Source organism: Homo sapiens, chromosome 3 (assembly GCF_000001405.40).
Source record: "Homo sapiens chromosome 3, GRCh38.p14 Primary Assembly".
Lineage (NCBI taxonomy): Eukaryota > Metazoa > Chordata > Mammalia > Primates > Hominidae > Homo > Homo sapiens.
This window is the reverse complement of record NC_000003.12, coordinates 117,357,159-117,375,646: the sequence shown is the minus strand read 5'-3', so window position 1 is coordinate 117,375,646 and position 18,488 is coordinate 117,357,159. Positions and strand designations below refer to the sequence as shown.

The following is an 18,488-nucleotide window of genomic DNA, read 5'->3' as shown; positions in this document are numbered from 1 at the left end:
AGGTGAGAGAAAAGAAACTAGCATGGTGTTGGAAGATTTGCAAAGTCTGAATTCTCTCTCAAAATATGTCATATTATCACCATTTTACATGAGAAAATTAACTTGCAGAAAGAGTAAGCTACAGCGAAGCCTCATTAAAGGGAACAATCAGATTTTGAGTCTAGTTTTTGGTTCCAAAGCCTGATTCTTCTAGTCCACCTTGCTGAAAACCATATAATTTCCCTGCTATTGTAACTAACACCCTCCTAGATATATTGTGTTTTACCACTGGCTTAATTAAGTCATTAAAGTTTGTGGTATTTTTACTTGTGAGTATTTGGAAACTATAATTTCTAAGGTGAAAGTTGGTATACAAATATCTTTGTCATTAGCTTGTTTTTCCTGCCTCCAAGTTAGAGAAGCTGTGAATCAACAAACAGATATCAAAGTTACTCATGTAAAATGACCTCATTTAATAGTGTTGCAGCATAGGTGAAAAAGCTAAGATGGAAGCCGTAAGCACAAAGTGAAAAAATATTCAGACATAAAGTAGATTTCTGTTCAGATCGTAACTGTTTTGAAGACCATCTTAACTTTATTTTTTATTTCATCGCAAACTTCTAAAGGAAATGCAATGTCCAAGTTGAATCCTGAAGCACATGACACAATTGAGCACACAAACATGCATACTTTCTTTCTTTCTTTCTTTCTTTTTTTTTTGAGACAGAGTCTCACTCTGTTGCCCAGGCTGGAGTGCAGTGGCACGATCTCAGCTCACTGCAACCTCCGCCTCCCAGATTCAAGTGATTCTCCTGCTTCAGCCTCCCAAGTAGCTGGGATTACAGGCATGTACCACCACGCCTGGCTAATTATTCCATTTTTAGTAGAGATGGGGTTTCACCATGTTGGCCAGGCAGGTCTCAAACTCCTGGTCTCAAGTGATCTGCCTGCCTCGGCCCCCCAAAGTGCTGTGATTATAGGCGTGAGCCACCATGCCCGGCCAACATGCATACTTCTTAATCCATCTTGCTTGACATATCACAAAGGAGGACACAGAGCACAAAGAGGTGGAAAACTCCACCCAAAATCATAGGCTACACATGCATTCATGATGCATTTGTTTATTTTTAAGCCATTCATTTAATTGGCAGTCAGTCATCTAGTATATCAGTCATCTAGTATGTTAGTTGGGACTGGAGAAACAGAATGAAATAATTTGTTTTTGGTCCTAAAAGAGAATACACCCTAATGGGGAGGCAGGCATACAAACGGAGTATGACTTCAAGTGTACAAACTGCAATGAGTGCAAATCATGCATGTGTTCCATCATGGTATAACCCCTGTACATAGAAGATGCTCAGTATCTATGCATTGACTAATATGTATACAAATACGTGGTTTTATCTGTACAATATCCCTTTCTTCTTTTCACTGATTTGTATATGTCTGCAGAAGTATCTAAAAACCTGAAAACTATTGTTGAGTACAGTGGCATGGTGACAATCAGGCCCTGGGTCACAATGGCCAGAGTTCTAGAAACAAGCCTCATTTCATATTGTTTGTTTTTAACCCAGACTCTGGACCCATCGATTCTTTATGGAAAATTTCAAAACTGGAGAATTTAGTATTACAACACCTCTCTCTCTTCCTTATCTGGCTGATGATACTTTGTAACTCTCAGCTGAATATCGTGCAATGTTCTGACACCTTTCTCTGCTCAATGCTTAATTTTGCTGCATTTGTTATGAAATTTTCACTTCCTGCCAAAAATGCAAAAAGTTACTTGCATTTATGGAGAAAAGAAAATGTAAATTTTCTTGGAATGATAATTTTCTTTTTCATATATTGATTACTGAAAGATTTATTTTTAGGATACAGGTAATAATCCTTATCATTTTGTGAAAACAATCCTTACAAATAAGATAAAATAATAACTGATGCCTACATGACTAAATCAGTACTGATATGGATTGGCTAACTGATGGAAGCTTTCAGAGAGAAGTCAGAAACTAACTAAACTGACATAACAACAACAGCAACCGCAACTTCTCACCTCTAGGACTATTATCATTTATATCCACCGAAGTATATAATGGAATGTAAAGCATTCAGATGAAGCTATACTATTCAGTAACATGTATCTAAATTTCATCTCCAGTATTATTAAAAACAAAAGGATGTATAAAAAAATAGAATGCATACTGAAGAGCATGATTTAAAATAGGAGTAAACAGCCATGAAAAAGAATGAAATGATGCATTTCCTAGCAACATGGATGGAATTAGAGGTTTTTAGCGTAAGAGAAATAACTCAGAAACAGTCAAATACCACATGTTCTCACTTATAAATGGGAGCTAAATACTATGTACACATAGATACAGAGAGTGGGATAATAGACATTGGATACTCAGAAGGTAGAGGGTGGTGAGGAATGAGAGATTACTTAATGGGTACTATATATTATTTGCGCAATGAATACACTAAAAGCTCAGATTTCACCGCTATACAATATCTCCACGTAAAAAAACTGCGCTTGTATCCCCAACTCTATAAAAATAAAAAATAAAATAAAAACCAAACAAAATAGGAGTAGAGAAAAGAGATCATAAAGAATAGTAAAAACTAGAATAGTGTCCCTGAGGAAAAGAAGACTAGAAAATGCCTCCTCCACTTTATAAAAGGATTGCTATGAAAAATGTGCAGATCAATTGTCCTGTGTATCTTCTAGAAACAAAAGGCTTTTAAGCCTGTAGCCTCATTGACATAAAAAGTAATTATAATGACAACCAGGCTACCAAGAGAGATATTTGCATCGTCAACTTAAAAATGTCAACATACGATGCAAGCTGCATTCAGCTCAAGACTCCATATTAAAGGAAAAGATACTTTTCTTTATCCTAAATACTTGAGGTTTCCAGTTCTGGAGAAATTTTTTTTTCTCTCTGTAGTGAAGCTCTTAGAGAAGTAGGCAAGAACTACCACCTTGGAGTTGTGACCACAACTCAGAAACACCAGCAATCTACCAGGATTTGGGAAAACTGTGGCAACCAGTTTAAACATCACTAGTGTGACTCACCTACTACTTTCAGTTGTCATTATCAGTATCTACCTAAACATCTTGATATTCCTTTCAGTTCTAAATATCTGAAATGTCATGATGAAGTCTATTCATCCTTATTCAAAATCAAAAACTATTATGCTTTTTAAAGATATTATTTTCATTTATGGTATTTAAAGAAATAAAAGCATGAGAGACAATAGGGATATATGTTGATAAATAAAAAAATTACAACATAAATATTTGAAATAGGACTCAGAAAATAAAATTTTAAAGTTCAGAATTGCCTACAAAAAATCAACTTTTGGCTGGGAGCAGTGGCTCACACCTGTAATCCCAGCACTTTGGGAGACTAAGGCTGGAGGATCACTTGATGCCAGAAGTTCGAGACCAGCCTGGCCAACATGGAGGAACCCACATCTCTACTGAAAATACAAAAAAATTTGCCAGGCATGGTGGTGCATGCCTGTAATCCCAGCTACCAGGGAGGCTGAGGCATGAGAATTCCTCGAGCCCGGGAGGCAGAGATTGCAGTGAGCCGAAATCACGCCACTGCACTCTAGCCTGGGTGACAGAACGAGACTCTGTCTCAAAAAAAAAAGAAAAAAAGAAAAAAAGAAAAGAAAAGAAAAAGAGAATCAACTCTTTAGAAGATATATTCTGAAAGATCTACCATGAAAATACTTGGTGCTTTCTATATAGATGACATCAGAAAAATGGTAACAGGTATACAATAGCTGTGTTGAGAACTAATAATTGCACAGGTAGATTAAATTTTGTTACAAAAATAACAACTGTTCCTTCAACATTCCTAAACTCTGAGAACTAGTCCAGGAATAGGTTGGTCTGTAGGAGGAGACCAGACTGGAAAGGGTTTAAGAAATCAAAGAGCTAAAAAATTGATACTTCATAGTCTCTTGGGAGTCAATGAAGCCTATTATTTGAATCTCATCAACAAGCTAAATCTAAATGTGCATTTTCTAGGGAAGCTGTAAGTAAGATTACTCAGGGATCGTGGAATGACATATTCTTACCTCCAGAGTTTGAGAATGGAAATTATTCTCTCTAGTTGGAGTGCAGTTTTCATGGTTAGAACCTGCAGAGTGAAAAGGAGAGATTGATTAAATATGTTGCTTCCCATCCCAGCCATCCACAAGTTATCATTTTTAGCCACTGTGATTATTTTGCATTCAGCACAAAGATGGCAATCTGGCAGGTTTGTGAGCCTTGAGACTCCAACAGATTGGGGCCGAATTCTTGCTTGTGTGTCAAGGCAACAGAGCATGCTCCTGCCAGTCAATATGCCTTTTCTTGCCTTGTGGAAACTATTTCTACTCCATGCCAGTGTCAATTGCATTTCCCAGATATGGCTGCAAAATACTGTAACAAAGGTTGCTATTTAATTTGAAGTTGTTTTGGCAGGTGAGCTCTGCTATTGCAAATTGTGATTTGGAATCTGTGATTTACAGAGTAAAAACCCCTTATTGAAATATAAATGCTATTTAACTGTTAAGAAAAATAAAAAGCTATGCAGTCAGTCATTTAATCAATCTGATGGCAATATTTCTTGAAAACCTTGTATACACTGAAACCATAACTTGTGCTTTGAGGAAGTACAGAAGAAAAATGTTGATGCATCCCCCAAGGAATTTTTCCATGTGGGAAGGTGTAATTTATCCAACTAATTAAGGAGATCTTCAGCATTAACCAAGTTTTATGAGAAGAAAAACAGTGAATATAAAATACCTGAATAGGCCAGGCACAGTGACTCATGCCTGTAATCTCAGCACTTTGGGAGGCTGAGGTGGGCGATCCCTTGAGGCCAGGAGTTCAAGACCAGCCTGGCCAACATGGCGAAACACCGTCTCTACTAAAAATACAAAAATTAGCTGGACTTGGTTGCGCATCCTAGCTACTCGGGAGGCTGAGACATGAGAATCGCTTTAACCCGAAAGGGAGAGATTGCAGTGAGCTGACATCATGCCACTGCCCTCCAGCCTGGGCAACAGAACAAGACTCTGTCTCAAAATAATAATAATACCAGAAGATGGTTTATCCTTGAATAAAAATATAAACTGGTGGGTTAAAGCCAAGGACATTGTGTAGTGACAAGAGTTTTACTACTAGGTTTCTATATCATGTGCCATACTTACGGGTTTCGCAAATATTATGAAAGAATGAATATAAATAGATACATCTTTATCTTACAATTGAATAAAGCTGTATGTATTCTGAGCAGTTATTTTCTGTAAGCGCCTAAAATTTTCTTTGGTGCGGTAAACATGTGACTACCAGATGCCTGGCTGAATATACCATTTGGCATAACAAGGCAGAAGAGAGGTGTGAAGATATACAGCATGATCCCCTTACCTTATTGAAGCAAAAGTGAAGATGTGGCAGCTTCCCACTAAGCTCCATATCCCTCCAGATAGTTGACTGCCACAGTGTTGAGGAGAACACAGGCATCAGTAGATAACAGAGCACAGCATATAGGTTGCTTCTGTGTGCATCATTTTCTTATGACAAAAGTTAGAGTGCTGGCTCTAGAAAGCAATCCATACTTGGCATGAATATCTCTGTTATACAGTTTTTGTGCTGGGGAGGCATGAAGACAAGGGAAAAGAAGAAGGAAAGAGAAAATGGCTGTGTTTTGTCTCCCCTAAGAGGTTTCACTAATAATCTTGACTTCTTGGAGTGAATCTAATCAGTGTGGTAGATGTTTCTCATCCTTGTTCACCATTCTTATTTATTTCCCAAAAGCACTTCTCTAACTTTTGTCCACTTATATTTTTGCTTCCCTGCTTTCCAATACAATTCTTTCTTCTTCATTCTTATTCAATTATTTCTCTTGTTGAAAACTTGAGTGATGAATCTTCTGAGTCTGTTTTCTGAAGTCAGGATTTAAAATGCATGTTTACTGGGGGCAAGTTATCTCAAATGTCAACTGATACCAACAGATGGGGATTCTTGGCTGAGAGGAAGTAAATATCTGGGTTCCTCAGGCATATCAATCTTTTTTGGCCCTGTTTGAAAATGTCAGGGCTTTAGAGAATGTTCAACATGTAATGTGATTAGCAAATACGATGAAAAGTGGACCTGATTTAGGAATTCTTCCCTGAAGTTGAGACCATGAGGGGACCATATGTGCTTGAGTGGTGTCAAGATTCTAGCACGTCCGCAATGTTTCCTCTGCAATGCTTATGTGATAAGTGAGGTATTTAATAATAATGTCTTACATTATTTACATTTCCTTACAAATGCTTTACATTTCCCTTTAGAAAGTGCCATCAGATCCATGGTCTGCTGCTGATTTTGATTCTTATCACATCCTGTATAATAAGTAAGATAACTATTATCCTTGTATTGTAAATAAGGGGAATCAGTCTCAGAGAATTAAAGTGACTTAATGGGTTATATTCAGAATCATATTCAATTGTTGTTCCCCGAGCATCTTTGAAGTACTGGGCAATTGCTATATGCTAGTCTGTTTATTATCTTCCAGTTATTGTTCATAACAACCCAGTGGAATTGGTGGTATTACCTGTATTGAACAGATAAGTTTGAAGGCATGTAAGCCACTGTTGAGAATCATGTAGTTCTTAAGGAATAAAGCTGAGATGTAAGCCTGGGTTTTGTGAATCCAAGTCCAGTACACTTTACCTATGATGTTAAACATAACACTTTAAGCTGCTACTGTGGTATAATATTTGGACCACATAAGCAATTACTCAAATTCTGTTCTATTCATACTGATTACCTTTTAGATCCATGTTCTAAAATTCTGTTTTCATCATGCCAGCCAAGCAGTGGGAGGCACAAACATAGGTATAATAATTGTGTTAACAGCAATAATAAAAAAGCTACCATTTATTGCACATCTACCAAGTACACTGTGCTAAATTCTTTGTATAGGTTAGTAAAGAGTCTGAGTTCATTTTTATGTTCAACTGCTGACAACTTTCAAGCCCCACCACTTCCCTTTACCCTTCTGCCCCATATCTGGGCAAGCTAATAAGAAATTCCAGGGGCTCCCTCCTTTGGTACCTGCAGGGGGTTCAAACGATGCAAGCCCTGGTCTATGCTGGACAATCTGTTCCTCAGCCTCACTCCCTAACCAACATAACACCCCAAGCCAGGGGCCCTCCCCTGATCTCTAGCCATTTTTTTGGACCTACTTGGTAGCCTATGCTACTCCTTCCAAGGGCCTCCTTATGTGAATAATAAACCTTTTCGTACTCCATTGGGGTATGTGTAGCATCATCAGTCTCAACATTTGGACCAAATTTTGGGTATGAGGTCCATCCTACTTCTGTGGAGCCCTCAACACATACATTACCTCTCAGCACTCATCCTGAAATCATGCAGTTATTGTTATCTACATTTTACACATGAGGAGCCTGGAACATAAAGAACTAACTCTGCAGTGTGTGTGTGTGTGTGTGTGTGTGTGTGCACGTGTGTGTGTGTGTGTGCGTGTGTGTACAGGGTGATAGAAGCTGACTAGATGTCTACAAGAAGAAACTGAGAAGAATTATGTTTTTATAAGCTTAAGAAAATACTTAGCTTTCCCTGAGAAACAGTGACTTGAAATACCAGGTGACTCATGGTTGAGTTAGATAATGTTTCGTAAAATTTTGTAAGGTCCTTGGTAGGTGCTCCCAAAATATGTATACTAAAAATTGATATTTCACAAGTTTCTGCCTGTTCATAATGAAATTGTGTCCTTCAGTTACATAATAGCCCACCCTCAAAACAGTTTTTAGGTATGTTCCCTGAAGAAATAAATTGGAAAATAAAATACTAGCTGAATTTTCACTCCCTGCTGATTTGGAGGAAGCTTAATTAAAATGTGTTACTTCTAGAATCTCTCATCAGAGTTTCAGTGAAAGTCTTTCCTCTTCTCATCTTTCCTGCCCTTTCCCCAACCTGAGGATCTAATCAGAGCACCGTACTAAGCTGCTGCTTTCATTAGTATCTCTGCTGCCATTGCCTGGCAGAAGCATGCATCAATGCTGAGTGTTCCAGGCCTAAAATGTGAGGATTTCCAATCATTTTCAAGATTAGGGAACCCTCAAAGTGTTTTGACCCTACCAGGTGAGAGGCATTTGCCATATAGACCATAGAGGTCATAATTAGTAAGAGATATTTCCAAAAACTCAAGACAGAGTTCATGAAATGCTGCCTTCTTTTAAATTTTTTCCATAGAAAATGATTCCACTGGTGTCTTTTTAAAAGATTGCATATCAGGAAACATTTTTCTAATGTATAACTCATTCTATTTTATACTATTTGCCATTTGTTACTGTTAAAACCTAGCTTTATTTCCTAGACAACAGTTTCATTTCAAAGTATTAAATTCCTTTAGTGATGCACATTTCTTTATAATTGTTTTCTTACACAAATATCATTTGCTACAGTCATAGATTTTTTTTCTTTCCTTTAACTATGATGACTATCTCTAGTTTTTATCTCTGTATGCACACTTTTATTCTACAAACAGTCTTTCACCCCATCTTCTCTTTCTGGGTACTCTTAACATGTCTAGTGCATGTCTCTCTTGGTCATCTGCCCTTGCACATGAAAGATGCTCTTTACAAGAGATTGTAATGACTTGAATAAGATCAATAAACAAGCCAGAGTTGTATATAGTGGATGTTTGATTATAGCTGATAAGGAGAGATGGAAGACAGACAGGAAAAGCTTACTTCCTTGAGTTTGGTTTGAGAAATCTGACAAAAATACATTTAGTTTCACAGAAAGTGAAAATAGAGATGTCCATTAAAAACCACACTATTACATTGAGTAGTGACAAAGTAAATCATTGTACTATACATGTAGTTTTCCACCTGTGGTATAGACTGCATTACTCAAGATCTCCATGCACTCACTGTAGGAGAACAAGCATCAAAACCTGACCATACATGTAGTAAAGTAGAGGATGTTATGTAAGAAAGTACTGCAGAAGAGGCAAAAGACAGCATAGCCTTTCAACAATCAGGAAAGCATGTAAGAACCTAGTCTTGGGAATGCCTGGAGACCTTAGAAAATAAGTATTGATTCCCTGCTAGTGACTTGAGAAAGTTCTTTTAGAAGACCATGGAACATTGGGTTTGGGAATAGTGTTAGGCCTTTCTATCAAAGTATTTTATGTTCTTTTTAATCAAATGAAGGTCAAGTAACTTCCATTAATCTACTTCCAGCCATTTCTGTGGGGTGGGGGGCGGTTTAGGTAGTAGACATTTAAAGTTGAAATTGGGATATTTAGATTTATATTGTATCTCTTTATTTAGTCTTTGTATAAACCATAGGCAAGTCACTTAATTCCTCTGAACCACAATTTTTTTTCATCTTTAAAATGGGCATAGTGTACGTTACCTATTTCATAGGATCAATATAAGAATTGAGATAATGTTTGAGACTTGCTGTGAGCCTTTGAGATGGTGAAATCTATTAAAAAGTTAATTGTTATTATTGTTCCTTAATATAGACTATTAGAGATTGAATCAACTGCCTATTATTTGGAGAGTCAATTTTGATTGGATACAAATTTTTGTCTCTTTATTTGACTTGGTGGTAGTGAGGATATTGCTGGAAGTGATGGTGTTTTAAAGTATTATTTTTAGGCTGGGCGCGGTGGCTCACACCTGTAATCCCAGCACTTTGGGAGGCCGAGGTAGGCAGATCACCTGAGGTCAGAAGTTTGAGACCAGCCTGACCAACATGGAGAAACTCTGTCTCTACTAAAAACGATACAAAATTAGCAGGGCATGGTGGCACATGCCTGTAATCCCAGCTACTCGGGAGGCTGAGGCAGGAGAATTGCTTGAACCCGGGAGGCGGAGGCTGCGGTGAGCCAAAATCGCGCCATTGCACTCCACCCTGGGCAACAAGAGTGAAACTCTGTTTCAAAAAAACAAACTAACTAACTAACTAAATAAAGTATTATTTTGATAAAATGTAACTAAGCAACTAAACTTTTCCTTTCTCCCTTCATTTTTCTAGCTATGTTAAAATGGGGCCTGAAATGGATAATAGGTACAAATGCCATGGCCTAAGGAAAGGGCGTATAAATCCTAGGCAGCATGCTTTAACCTGAAGCAGAGTGCACCTTCTTTATAAAGCCGTGGCAGGATTAATTAAAGCAAAATTTAATGAGCTAAAAAAGACTTTGTACCCTGTGGACATAAATACTAAACATCTAGCCCCAAACTATTAGTATTTAAAATGCCCTGAAGATCTTAAAATTATTAGCAAATATTGGTGAGGTTCTAAACTTACTATAGCAGCACCTCACTTAAAAAATGAAGATTGGTGGGACTGAGGTGGAGGAAAGAGATACTTATATTGGCTCTCATCTCACAGTCAAAATGAAAACACTCAAACGAATATTATTTTTGACACTTAAGAGTCAAAGTACAATGGGTTCAAATCAGCTTTTCTTTGAGAGGACCAAGCATTCAAACCAAAAAAATAAATTAATAATGCAATTCATTAATTAAACTTACAGAAGTGGTTTGATATATATAATTCATGGGGTGTAGCGTAGGGAAGAACCAAAATCATATTTCATTAGTGTCAGATAAATGTGTACTTTTTCCAGGAAAAGTTTGAAACATGAAACTGCTAAACCTCAATCCTTTATCTACTTTAGCCTTACGATTTTAGGTGTTCAGGGTATTATTATCACCTTAAGGATGAAGCAGCAATGCCTAGACATGTGTCAAGGAGATACAGCTACCAAGTTTTTTTTTTCTTTATTTCTTCTAAAGAAAAACAAAACAAAACAAAACAGGAAACGTGCAGAATGCACAGGTTTGTTACATAGGTATACGTGTGCCATGGTGGTTTGCTGCACCTATTGACTCATCCTCTAAGTTCCCTCCCTTCACCCTCCAACCTCCATTAGGCCCTAGTATGTGTTGTTCCTGCTCTGTGTCCATGTGTTCTCAATGTCCAACTCTCACTTATGAGTGAGAACATGTGGTGTTTGGTTTTCTGTTCCTGTATTAGTTTGCTGAGGATGATGGCTTCCATCTTCATCCATGTCCCTGAAAAAGACACGATCTAATTCTTTTTTATGGCTGCATAGTATTCCTTCGTGTATATGTACCACATTTTCTTTATCCAGCCTATCATTGATGGGCATTTGGGTTGGTTCCATATCTTAGCTATTGTAAGTAGTGCTTCAATAAACATAAGTGTGCATGTGTCTTTATAGTAGAATGATTTATAACCCTTTGGGTATATACCCAGTAATGAGATTGCTGGGTTAAATGGTATTTCTGGTTCTAGATCCTTGAGGAATTGTCATACTGTCTTCCACAATGGTTGAACTAATTTACATTCCCACCAACAGTGTAAAAGTGTTCCTATTTCTCCACAGCCTTGCCAACATCTGTTGTTTCCTGACTTTTTAATAATCACCATTCTGACTGGTGTGAGAAGGTATCTCACTGTGGTTTTGATTTGCATTTCTCTGATGATCAGTGACATTGAGCTTTTCTTCATATGTTTGTTGGCTGCGTAAATGTCTTCTTTTGAAAAGTGTCTTCTTTTGAAAAGTGTCTGTTCTATCCTTTGTTCACTTTTTGATGTGGTTGTTTTTTTTTTTTCTTGTAAATATGTTTAAGTTTTTTTGTAAATTCTGGATAGTAGACCTTTGTCAGATGGGTAGATTGCAAAAATTTTCTCCCATTCTGTAAGTTGTCTGTTCACTCTGATGCTAGTTTCCTTTGCTGTGCAGAAGCTCTTTAGCTTAATTAGATCCCATTTGTCAATTTTGGCTTTTGTTGCAATTGCTTTTGGTGTTTTGGTCATAAAGTCTTTGCCTTTGCCTATGTCCTGAATGGTATTGCCTAGGTTTTCTTCTAGGGTTTTTATGGCTTTGGGTTTTACAATTAAGTCTTTAATCCATCTTGAGTTAATTTTTGTATAAGGTGTAAGGAAGTGTTCCAGTTTCAGTTTTCTGCATACGGCTAGCCAGTTTTCTTGGTACCATTTACTGAATAGGAGATCCTTTCCCCATTGCTTGTTTTTGTCAGGTTTGTTGAAGATCAGATGGATGTAAATGTGTGGTGTTATTTCTGAGGTCTCTGTTCTGCTCTATTGGTCTATATGTCTGTTTTGGTACCAGTACCATGCTGTTTTGGTTACTGTAGCCTTGTAGTATAGTTTGAGGTCAGGTAACATGATGCCTCCAGCTTTGTTCTTTTTGCTTAGGATTGTCTTGGCTACATGGGGTCTTCTTTGATTCCATATGCAATTTAAAGTAGTTTTTTTTTCTAATTCTGTGAAGAATGTCAATGGTAGTTTGATGGGAATAGCATTGAATCTATAAATTACTTTGGGCAGTATGGCCATTTTCATGATATTGATTCTTGCTATCCATGAGGATGGAATGTTTTTCCATTTGTTTGTGTCCTCTATTATTTCCTTGAGCAGTGTTTCATAGTCCTTCTTGAAGAGGTCCTTCACATTGCTCGCTAGCTGTATTCCTAGGTATTTTATTCTCTTTGTAGCAATTGTGAATGGGAGTTCAATCATGATTTGGCTCTCTGTTGTTGGTGTAAATGCATGCTCGTGATTTTTTGCATATTGATTTTGTATCCTGAGACTTTGCTGAAGCTGCTTATCAATTCAAGAAGTTTCTGGGATGAGATGATGGGGTTATCTAAATATAAAATCATATCATCTGCAAACAGAGACAACTTGACTTCCTCTCTTTCTATTTGAATACCCATTATTTCTTTCTCTTGTCTGATTGCCCTGGCCAGAACTTCCAATACTATGTTGAATAGGAATGATGAGAGAGGGCATCCTTGTCTCGTACTGGTTTTCAGAGGGAATGCTTCCAGCTTTTGACCATTCAAAATGATATTGGCTGTGGGTTTGTAATAAATAGCTCTTGTTATTTTGAGATATGTTCCATCAATACCTAGTTTATTGAGAGTTTTTAAATGTGAAGGGATGTTGAATTTATTCAAAGGCCTTTTCTGCATCTATTGATATAATGACGTGGTTTTTGTCTTTGACTCTGTTTATGTGATGGATTATGCTTATTGATTTGCATATGTTGAACCAAACTTGCATCCCAGGGATGAAGCTGACTTGATCGTGATGGGTAACTTTGTTGAGGTGCTGCTGGATTCGCTTTGCCAGTATTTTATTCAGGATTTTTGCATCGATGTTCATCAGGGATATTGGCCTAAAGTTTTCTCTCTCTTTTTTTTTTTTATTTGAGTTAGGGAGGAGTCCTTCCTTTTCAATTGTTTGGAATAGTTTCAGAAGGAATGGTACCAGCTCCTCATTGTATTTCTGGTAGAATTCAGCTGTGAATTTGTCTGGTCCTGGGCTTTTTTTGGTTGGTAGGCTATTAATTACTGCCTCAATTTCAGAGCTTATTATTGGTCTATTCAAGGATTCGACTTCTTCCTGGTTTAGTCTTGGTAGGGTGTATGCATCCAGGAATTTATCCATTTCTTCTAGATTTTACCGTTTATATGTGTAGAGCTGTTTATAGTATTCTCTAATGGTAGTTTGTATTTCTGTGGGGTCATTGGTGACATCCCCTTTATCATTTTTTATTGTGTCTATCTGATTCTTTTCATCATCTTCTTTATTCATCTAGCTAGCGATCTATTTTGTTATTTTTTTCAAAAAGCCAGCTTCTGGATTCATTGATTTTTTGGAGGGTTTTTCGTATCTCTATCTCCTTCATTTCTTCTCTGATCTTAGTTATTTCTTGTCTTCTGCTGTCTTTTGGATTAGTTTGTTCTTGCCTCTCTTGCTCTTTTAATTGTGATATTAGGATGTTGATTTGAGATCTTTCAAGCTTTCTGATGTGGGCATTTAGTGCTACAAATTTCCCTCTAAACACTGCTTTAGCTATGTCCCAGAAATTCTGGCACATTGTCTCTTTGTTCTCATTTGTTTCAAAGAACTTCTTGATTTCTGTTTTAACTTCATTATTTACCCAGGAGTCATTCAGGAATAGGTTGTTCAATTTCCATGAAATTGTGTGGTTTTGAGTGAGCTTCTTTATCCTGAGTTCTAATTTGATTGCAGTGTGGTCTGAGAGACTGTTTGTTATGATTTCAGTTCTTTTGCATTTGCTGGGGAGTGTTTTACTTCCAATTATGTGGTTGATTTTAGAATAAGTGCCATGTGGGACGGAGAATAATGTATATTCTGTTGATCTGGGGTAGAGAGTTCTGTAGATGTCTACTAAGTCCACTTGATCCAGAGCTGAGTTCAAGACCTGAATATTGTTGTTAATTTTCTGTCTCGTTGATATGTCTAATACTAACAACGAAGTGTTAAAGTCTCCCACTATTATTGTGTAGGAGACTAAGTCTCTTTGTAGGTCTCTGAGAACTTGTTTTATGAATCTCGGTGCTCCTGTATCAGGTGCATATATATTTAGAATAGTTAGCTCTTCTTGTTGAATTGTTCCCTTTACCATTATGTAATACCCTTCTTTGTCTTTTTTGATACTTGTTGGTTTAAAGTCTGTTTTGTCTGAGACTGGATTGCAGCCCCTGCCTTTTTGGCTTTCCATTCTCTTGGTAAATTTTCCTCCATTTCTTTATTTTGAGCCTGTGTGTGTCTTTGCACGTAAGATGGGTCTCCTGAATACAGCACACTGATAGGTCTTGACTCCTTATCCAATTTGCCAGTCTGTGTCTTTTAACAGGGGTGTTTGGTGCATTTACATTTAAGGTTAGTATTGTTATGTGTAAATCTGATCCTGTCATCATGATGCTATTTGGTTATTTTGCACAGTAGTTGATGCACTTTCTTCATAGTGTCATTGGTCTTTATATTTTGGTGTGTTTTTGCAGTGGCTAGTACTGGTTTTTCCTTTTTATATTTAGTTCTTCTTTGAGGAGCTCTTGCAGGGCAGGCCTAGTGGTAATAAAATCCCTCAGCATTTGCTTGTCTGGAAAGAATTTTATTTCTCCTTTACTTATGAAGCTTAGTTTGGCTGGATATGAAATTCTGGGTCAAAGATTCTTTTCTTTAAGAATGTTGAATATTGGCCCCCAGTCTCTTCTGGCTTATAGAGTTCCTGCTGAGAGGTCTGCTGTTAGTCTGATGGGCTTCCCTTTTCAGGTGACCTGGCCTTTCTCACTGGCTGCCCTTAATAGTTTTTCTTTCATTTTGACCTTGCAGAATCTGATTATTATGTGTTTAGGAGTTGATCTTCTTGTGGCGTATCTTAATAGTGTTCTCTGCATTTCTTGAATTTGCATGTTGGCCTGTCTTACTAGGTTGGGGAAGTTCTCCTGGATAATATCCTGAAGTGTGTTTTCCAGCTTGTTTCCATTCTCCCCATCTCCTTCTGGTACTCCAATTAATCATAGGTTCGGTCTTTTTATGAAGTCCCATATTTCATGGAGGCTTTGTTCATTCCTTTTCATTATTTTTTTTTTCTCTATGCTTTTCTGCATATCTTATTTCAGTAAGGTGGTCTTCAAACTCTAATATCCTTTCTTCTGCTTACTCGATTTGGCTGTTGATACTTGTGTATACTTCACAAAGTTCTTGTGCTGTATTTTTCAGCTCCATTAGGTCACGTGTGTTCCTCTCTGAATTGGTCATTCTAGTTAGTAATTCCTCTAAACTTTTATCAAGGTTCTTATCTTCTTTGCATTGGGTTAGAACATGCTCCTTTAGCTCAGCAGAGTTTTTTATTACCCATCTTCTGAAGCCTACTTCTGTCAATTCATCCATCTGATCCTCCATCCAGTTCTGCACCCTTGATGAAGAGATGTTGCTATCACTTGGAGAAGAAGAGGCACTCTGGCCTTTTGGGTTTTCAGCATTTTTTTGTTGTTGATTCTTTCTCATCTTTGTGAGTTTGTCTAGTTTCGGTCTTTGAGGCTGCTGACCCTTGGATGGGTTTTTTGTGGAGGCCTTTTTGTTCTTGTTGTTGTTGTTGTTGATGCTGTTACTGTCAATTTCTGCTTGTTCGTTTTTCTTTCAATAGTACGGTCCCTCTTCTGTGGGGCTGCTGCAGTTTGCTGTGGATTCGCTTCAGGCCCTATCCATCTGATTCGCGCCCTGGAGATGTCATTCAAGGAGGATGGAAAGCAGCAAAGTATGGGTGCCTGCTCCTTCTTCTGGGACCTCTGATCTTGTAGGGCAGCAGCCTGATGTCAGTAGGATTGCTTCTGCATGGGGTGTCTGACAACCTCTGTTGGACGGTCTCACCCAGTTGGGTGGCCCGGGGAGAAGGACCCATTTAATGAAGCACTTTGTCTCTTTGCTGGGGAGAACTTCACTCATCTGGGCTGCCCAGATTCCTCAGAACTACCAGGAGGACAGGCTAAGTCTGCTGGTCCACAAATTCTGTGGCCACCCCTCCCACTAGGGGCTCAGCCCTGGCAGATCCAAATTCTGTCCATGAGCCCCTGGCTGGAGTTATTGGAGATCCTACAGGGAAGCCCTGCCCACTGAAGAAGGATGGGTCGGGGTTGGGCCTGAAGAGGCACTCTGGCCACAGACTGCCGCAGCCAGTGTGTTGGGCTGTGGAGACAACTCTTGAGACCAAGCCATCCAGCCCCTCTGGCTCCAGCAGGGGAAAAGCGCAACCTGGAGCTATAGAAATGGGTGCCGCTCTTCCCCCACCCAGGGAGCTTAACGTGGGTGGTGTTAGGTAGTTGTGAGTCCCAGTGCTGGATGCTGCCCCTCCCCCAAGGAGCTCAAACAGCTTAGACACAGGGCAGTGTCAGGCAGCCCATGCTGGTCACCCCTCCCTGCGGGGAAGTTGGATAGGCTTAAGCAGACTCCAGCTGAGAGGCTGTAAGAATCTGCATTCAGGGTTCGGGATTCTAGGACCCGGTGGCGTGGGTTTGCAAGTGGGATCTTCCGATCCATGGGTTGCCCAGTTCCAAGGAAAAAGCACAGTTTCCCTGGTAGTGTGCTCACTCACCGCCTCCCTTGGCTGGGGGGAGGCAGCTCCCCTTGCCTGCTCTCAGGTGGGCTGCGGCACAACACCGCTCTTCCTTCTCTTCGTGGGTCACATCAACCTTCTAGACAATTTTGATGAGAGAACCTGGATACCTTGGTTGCCTGTGAGGATTCACAGGCTTTTTATGTTTTTTTCCCATTGGCGCCTCTGAATGCAGCTGCTTCTAGTCAGCCATCTTTGCCCCGCCCCCCACAGCTACCAAGTTTCATAATCAAGTGTTGGAATTCAAATTTTCTGATTCTGAGTAATGCCATCCATCTTTACATTGACAGATTTTTAAATAATAGGGAGATAAGTGGTTTTCTTAACTAATTTCAATAATAGCCTTCTCAGAATAATAGAGACGTATCTTCCTGGGAGGTTCAGTTTGCTTACCCTAGGGGACAATGAAACATTTGCTTGGTAACCTGCATCTGTGGCCTGACCAGAAATGAATGCAGCTCTCTTAGACTGTATGACATGCCCTCTGACTAGCAAGCTGGTAACTGCTGAATGCCAAGCTCTGCTTTCAAAATGCCCATGTCACAATTGCCAGTGGATGACCTGATATCATGACCAATGCTGTTTTGGTAAAGTAGAGACACTTTCCTAGATTTGTGATCTTTACACAATCTCTATCTCTGAAGATACCTTAGAGAAATCATTTTAGTACTATTATCTGTAGTTAAATCATGTTGTGCATGCAGTAAGTGTTTTAAATGAAAGTAATTTAAAACAACTCTGTGTGTTTAACTCTGGAATTACACTTTTTACTGTACCTCAATAGATTTCAGACAAATGTGTGTAATATGTTCACATTTATGTTGTTTTTTTCTTATTAAAATACATTGGATTTATGCTTCTAATATCATGTTTTGAGAAACTAAGTGGATCATACTGAAGTTGAACTTATTTCTCTATCAGTGCAAAAAAAGGAGCTATTACCAAACCTCTATTAAAAAGGTATGTGAAAATAAACAGTAAAAATAAAAATACATATAAAATGTTATTTTACAAAAATGAATGAATGCTTGACTTTAATTAATTAATCGTTCGGGCAAGAAGACTTTGCCCGGTTTAATACTTGAATTCAGTAATAGACTCCCAAGTTAAACTTTAGAAGTCCCAAGTTTTCATTTTCTCCAATGCTGTTTCATTCTTCAGAATAGTTTGTGATAAATGGTGAATAAGACCCAAAGCCCAATTTGGGGTGAAAATGAAGGCTTCGTATGTCTTCAAGTGGCTGTTAACACAGGGTAAAGGAAAAGACAGACAACTACTAATACTTTCAGCTTAAAAGTACCTGAGTCTTTCTCCCTCATAAGGGAAATACATTTTGTGGGGAAGTTTTTTCATAATTTAAACATTCTGAGCAAGTTTTCTTTTTATATGTCAAGAAGCATTACAGAACTTGAAGCCAATAGAAATAGATGCAGCACCTGATGGAGTAGTGTGATAGTATAGCAAAAGGACAAGATCGGAGGCTTGAATGAACTGAGA

The 18,488-nt window shown here is 38.4% G+C and overlaps 1 long non-coding RNA gene across 1 annotated transcript, besides 1 other annotated feature; it reads right to left on the bottom strand.

Annotated features, from left to right (window-relative positions):
• Positions 1–4,071: 4,071 nt before the first annotated feature.
• On the bottom strand, positions 4,072–17,462 carry LOC124906271 (uncharacterized). Its single transcript, XR_007096023.1, has 3 exons — positions 17,385–17,462; positions 5,408–5,580; positions 4,072–4,133 (listed from the first exon to the last, which is right to left on the bottom strand). It is a non-coding gene; the product is annotated as an uncharacterized LOC124906271 (long non-coding RNA).
• Positions 16,708–17,209: an enhancer, noted in NCBI's record as "H3K4me1 hESC enhancer chr3:117077285-117077786 (GRCh37/hg19 assembly coordinates)". NCBI's record gives its function as "activates a minimal SCP1, AML or CMV promoter by ChIP-STARR-seq in primed H9 embryonic stem cells {active_cell/tissue: H9 hESC(primed)}" and the evidence as "EXISTENCE:reporter gene assay evidence [ECO:0000049][PMID:30033119]".
• Positions 17,463–18,488: the final 1,026 nt, after the last annotated feature.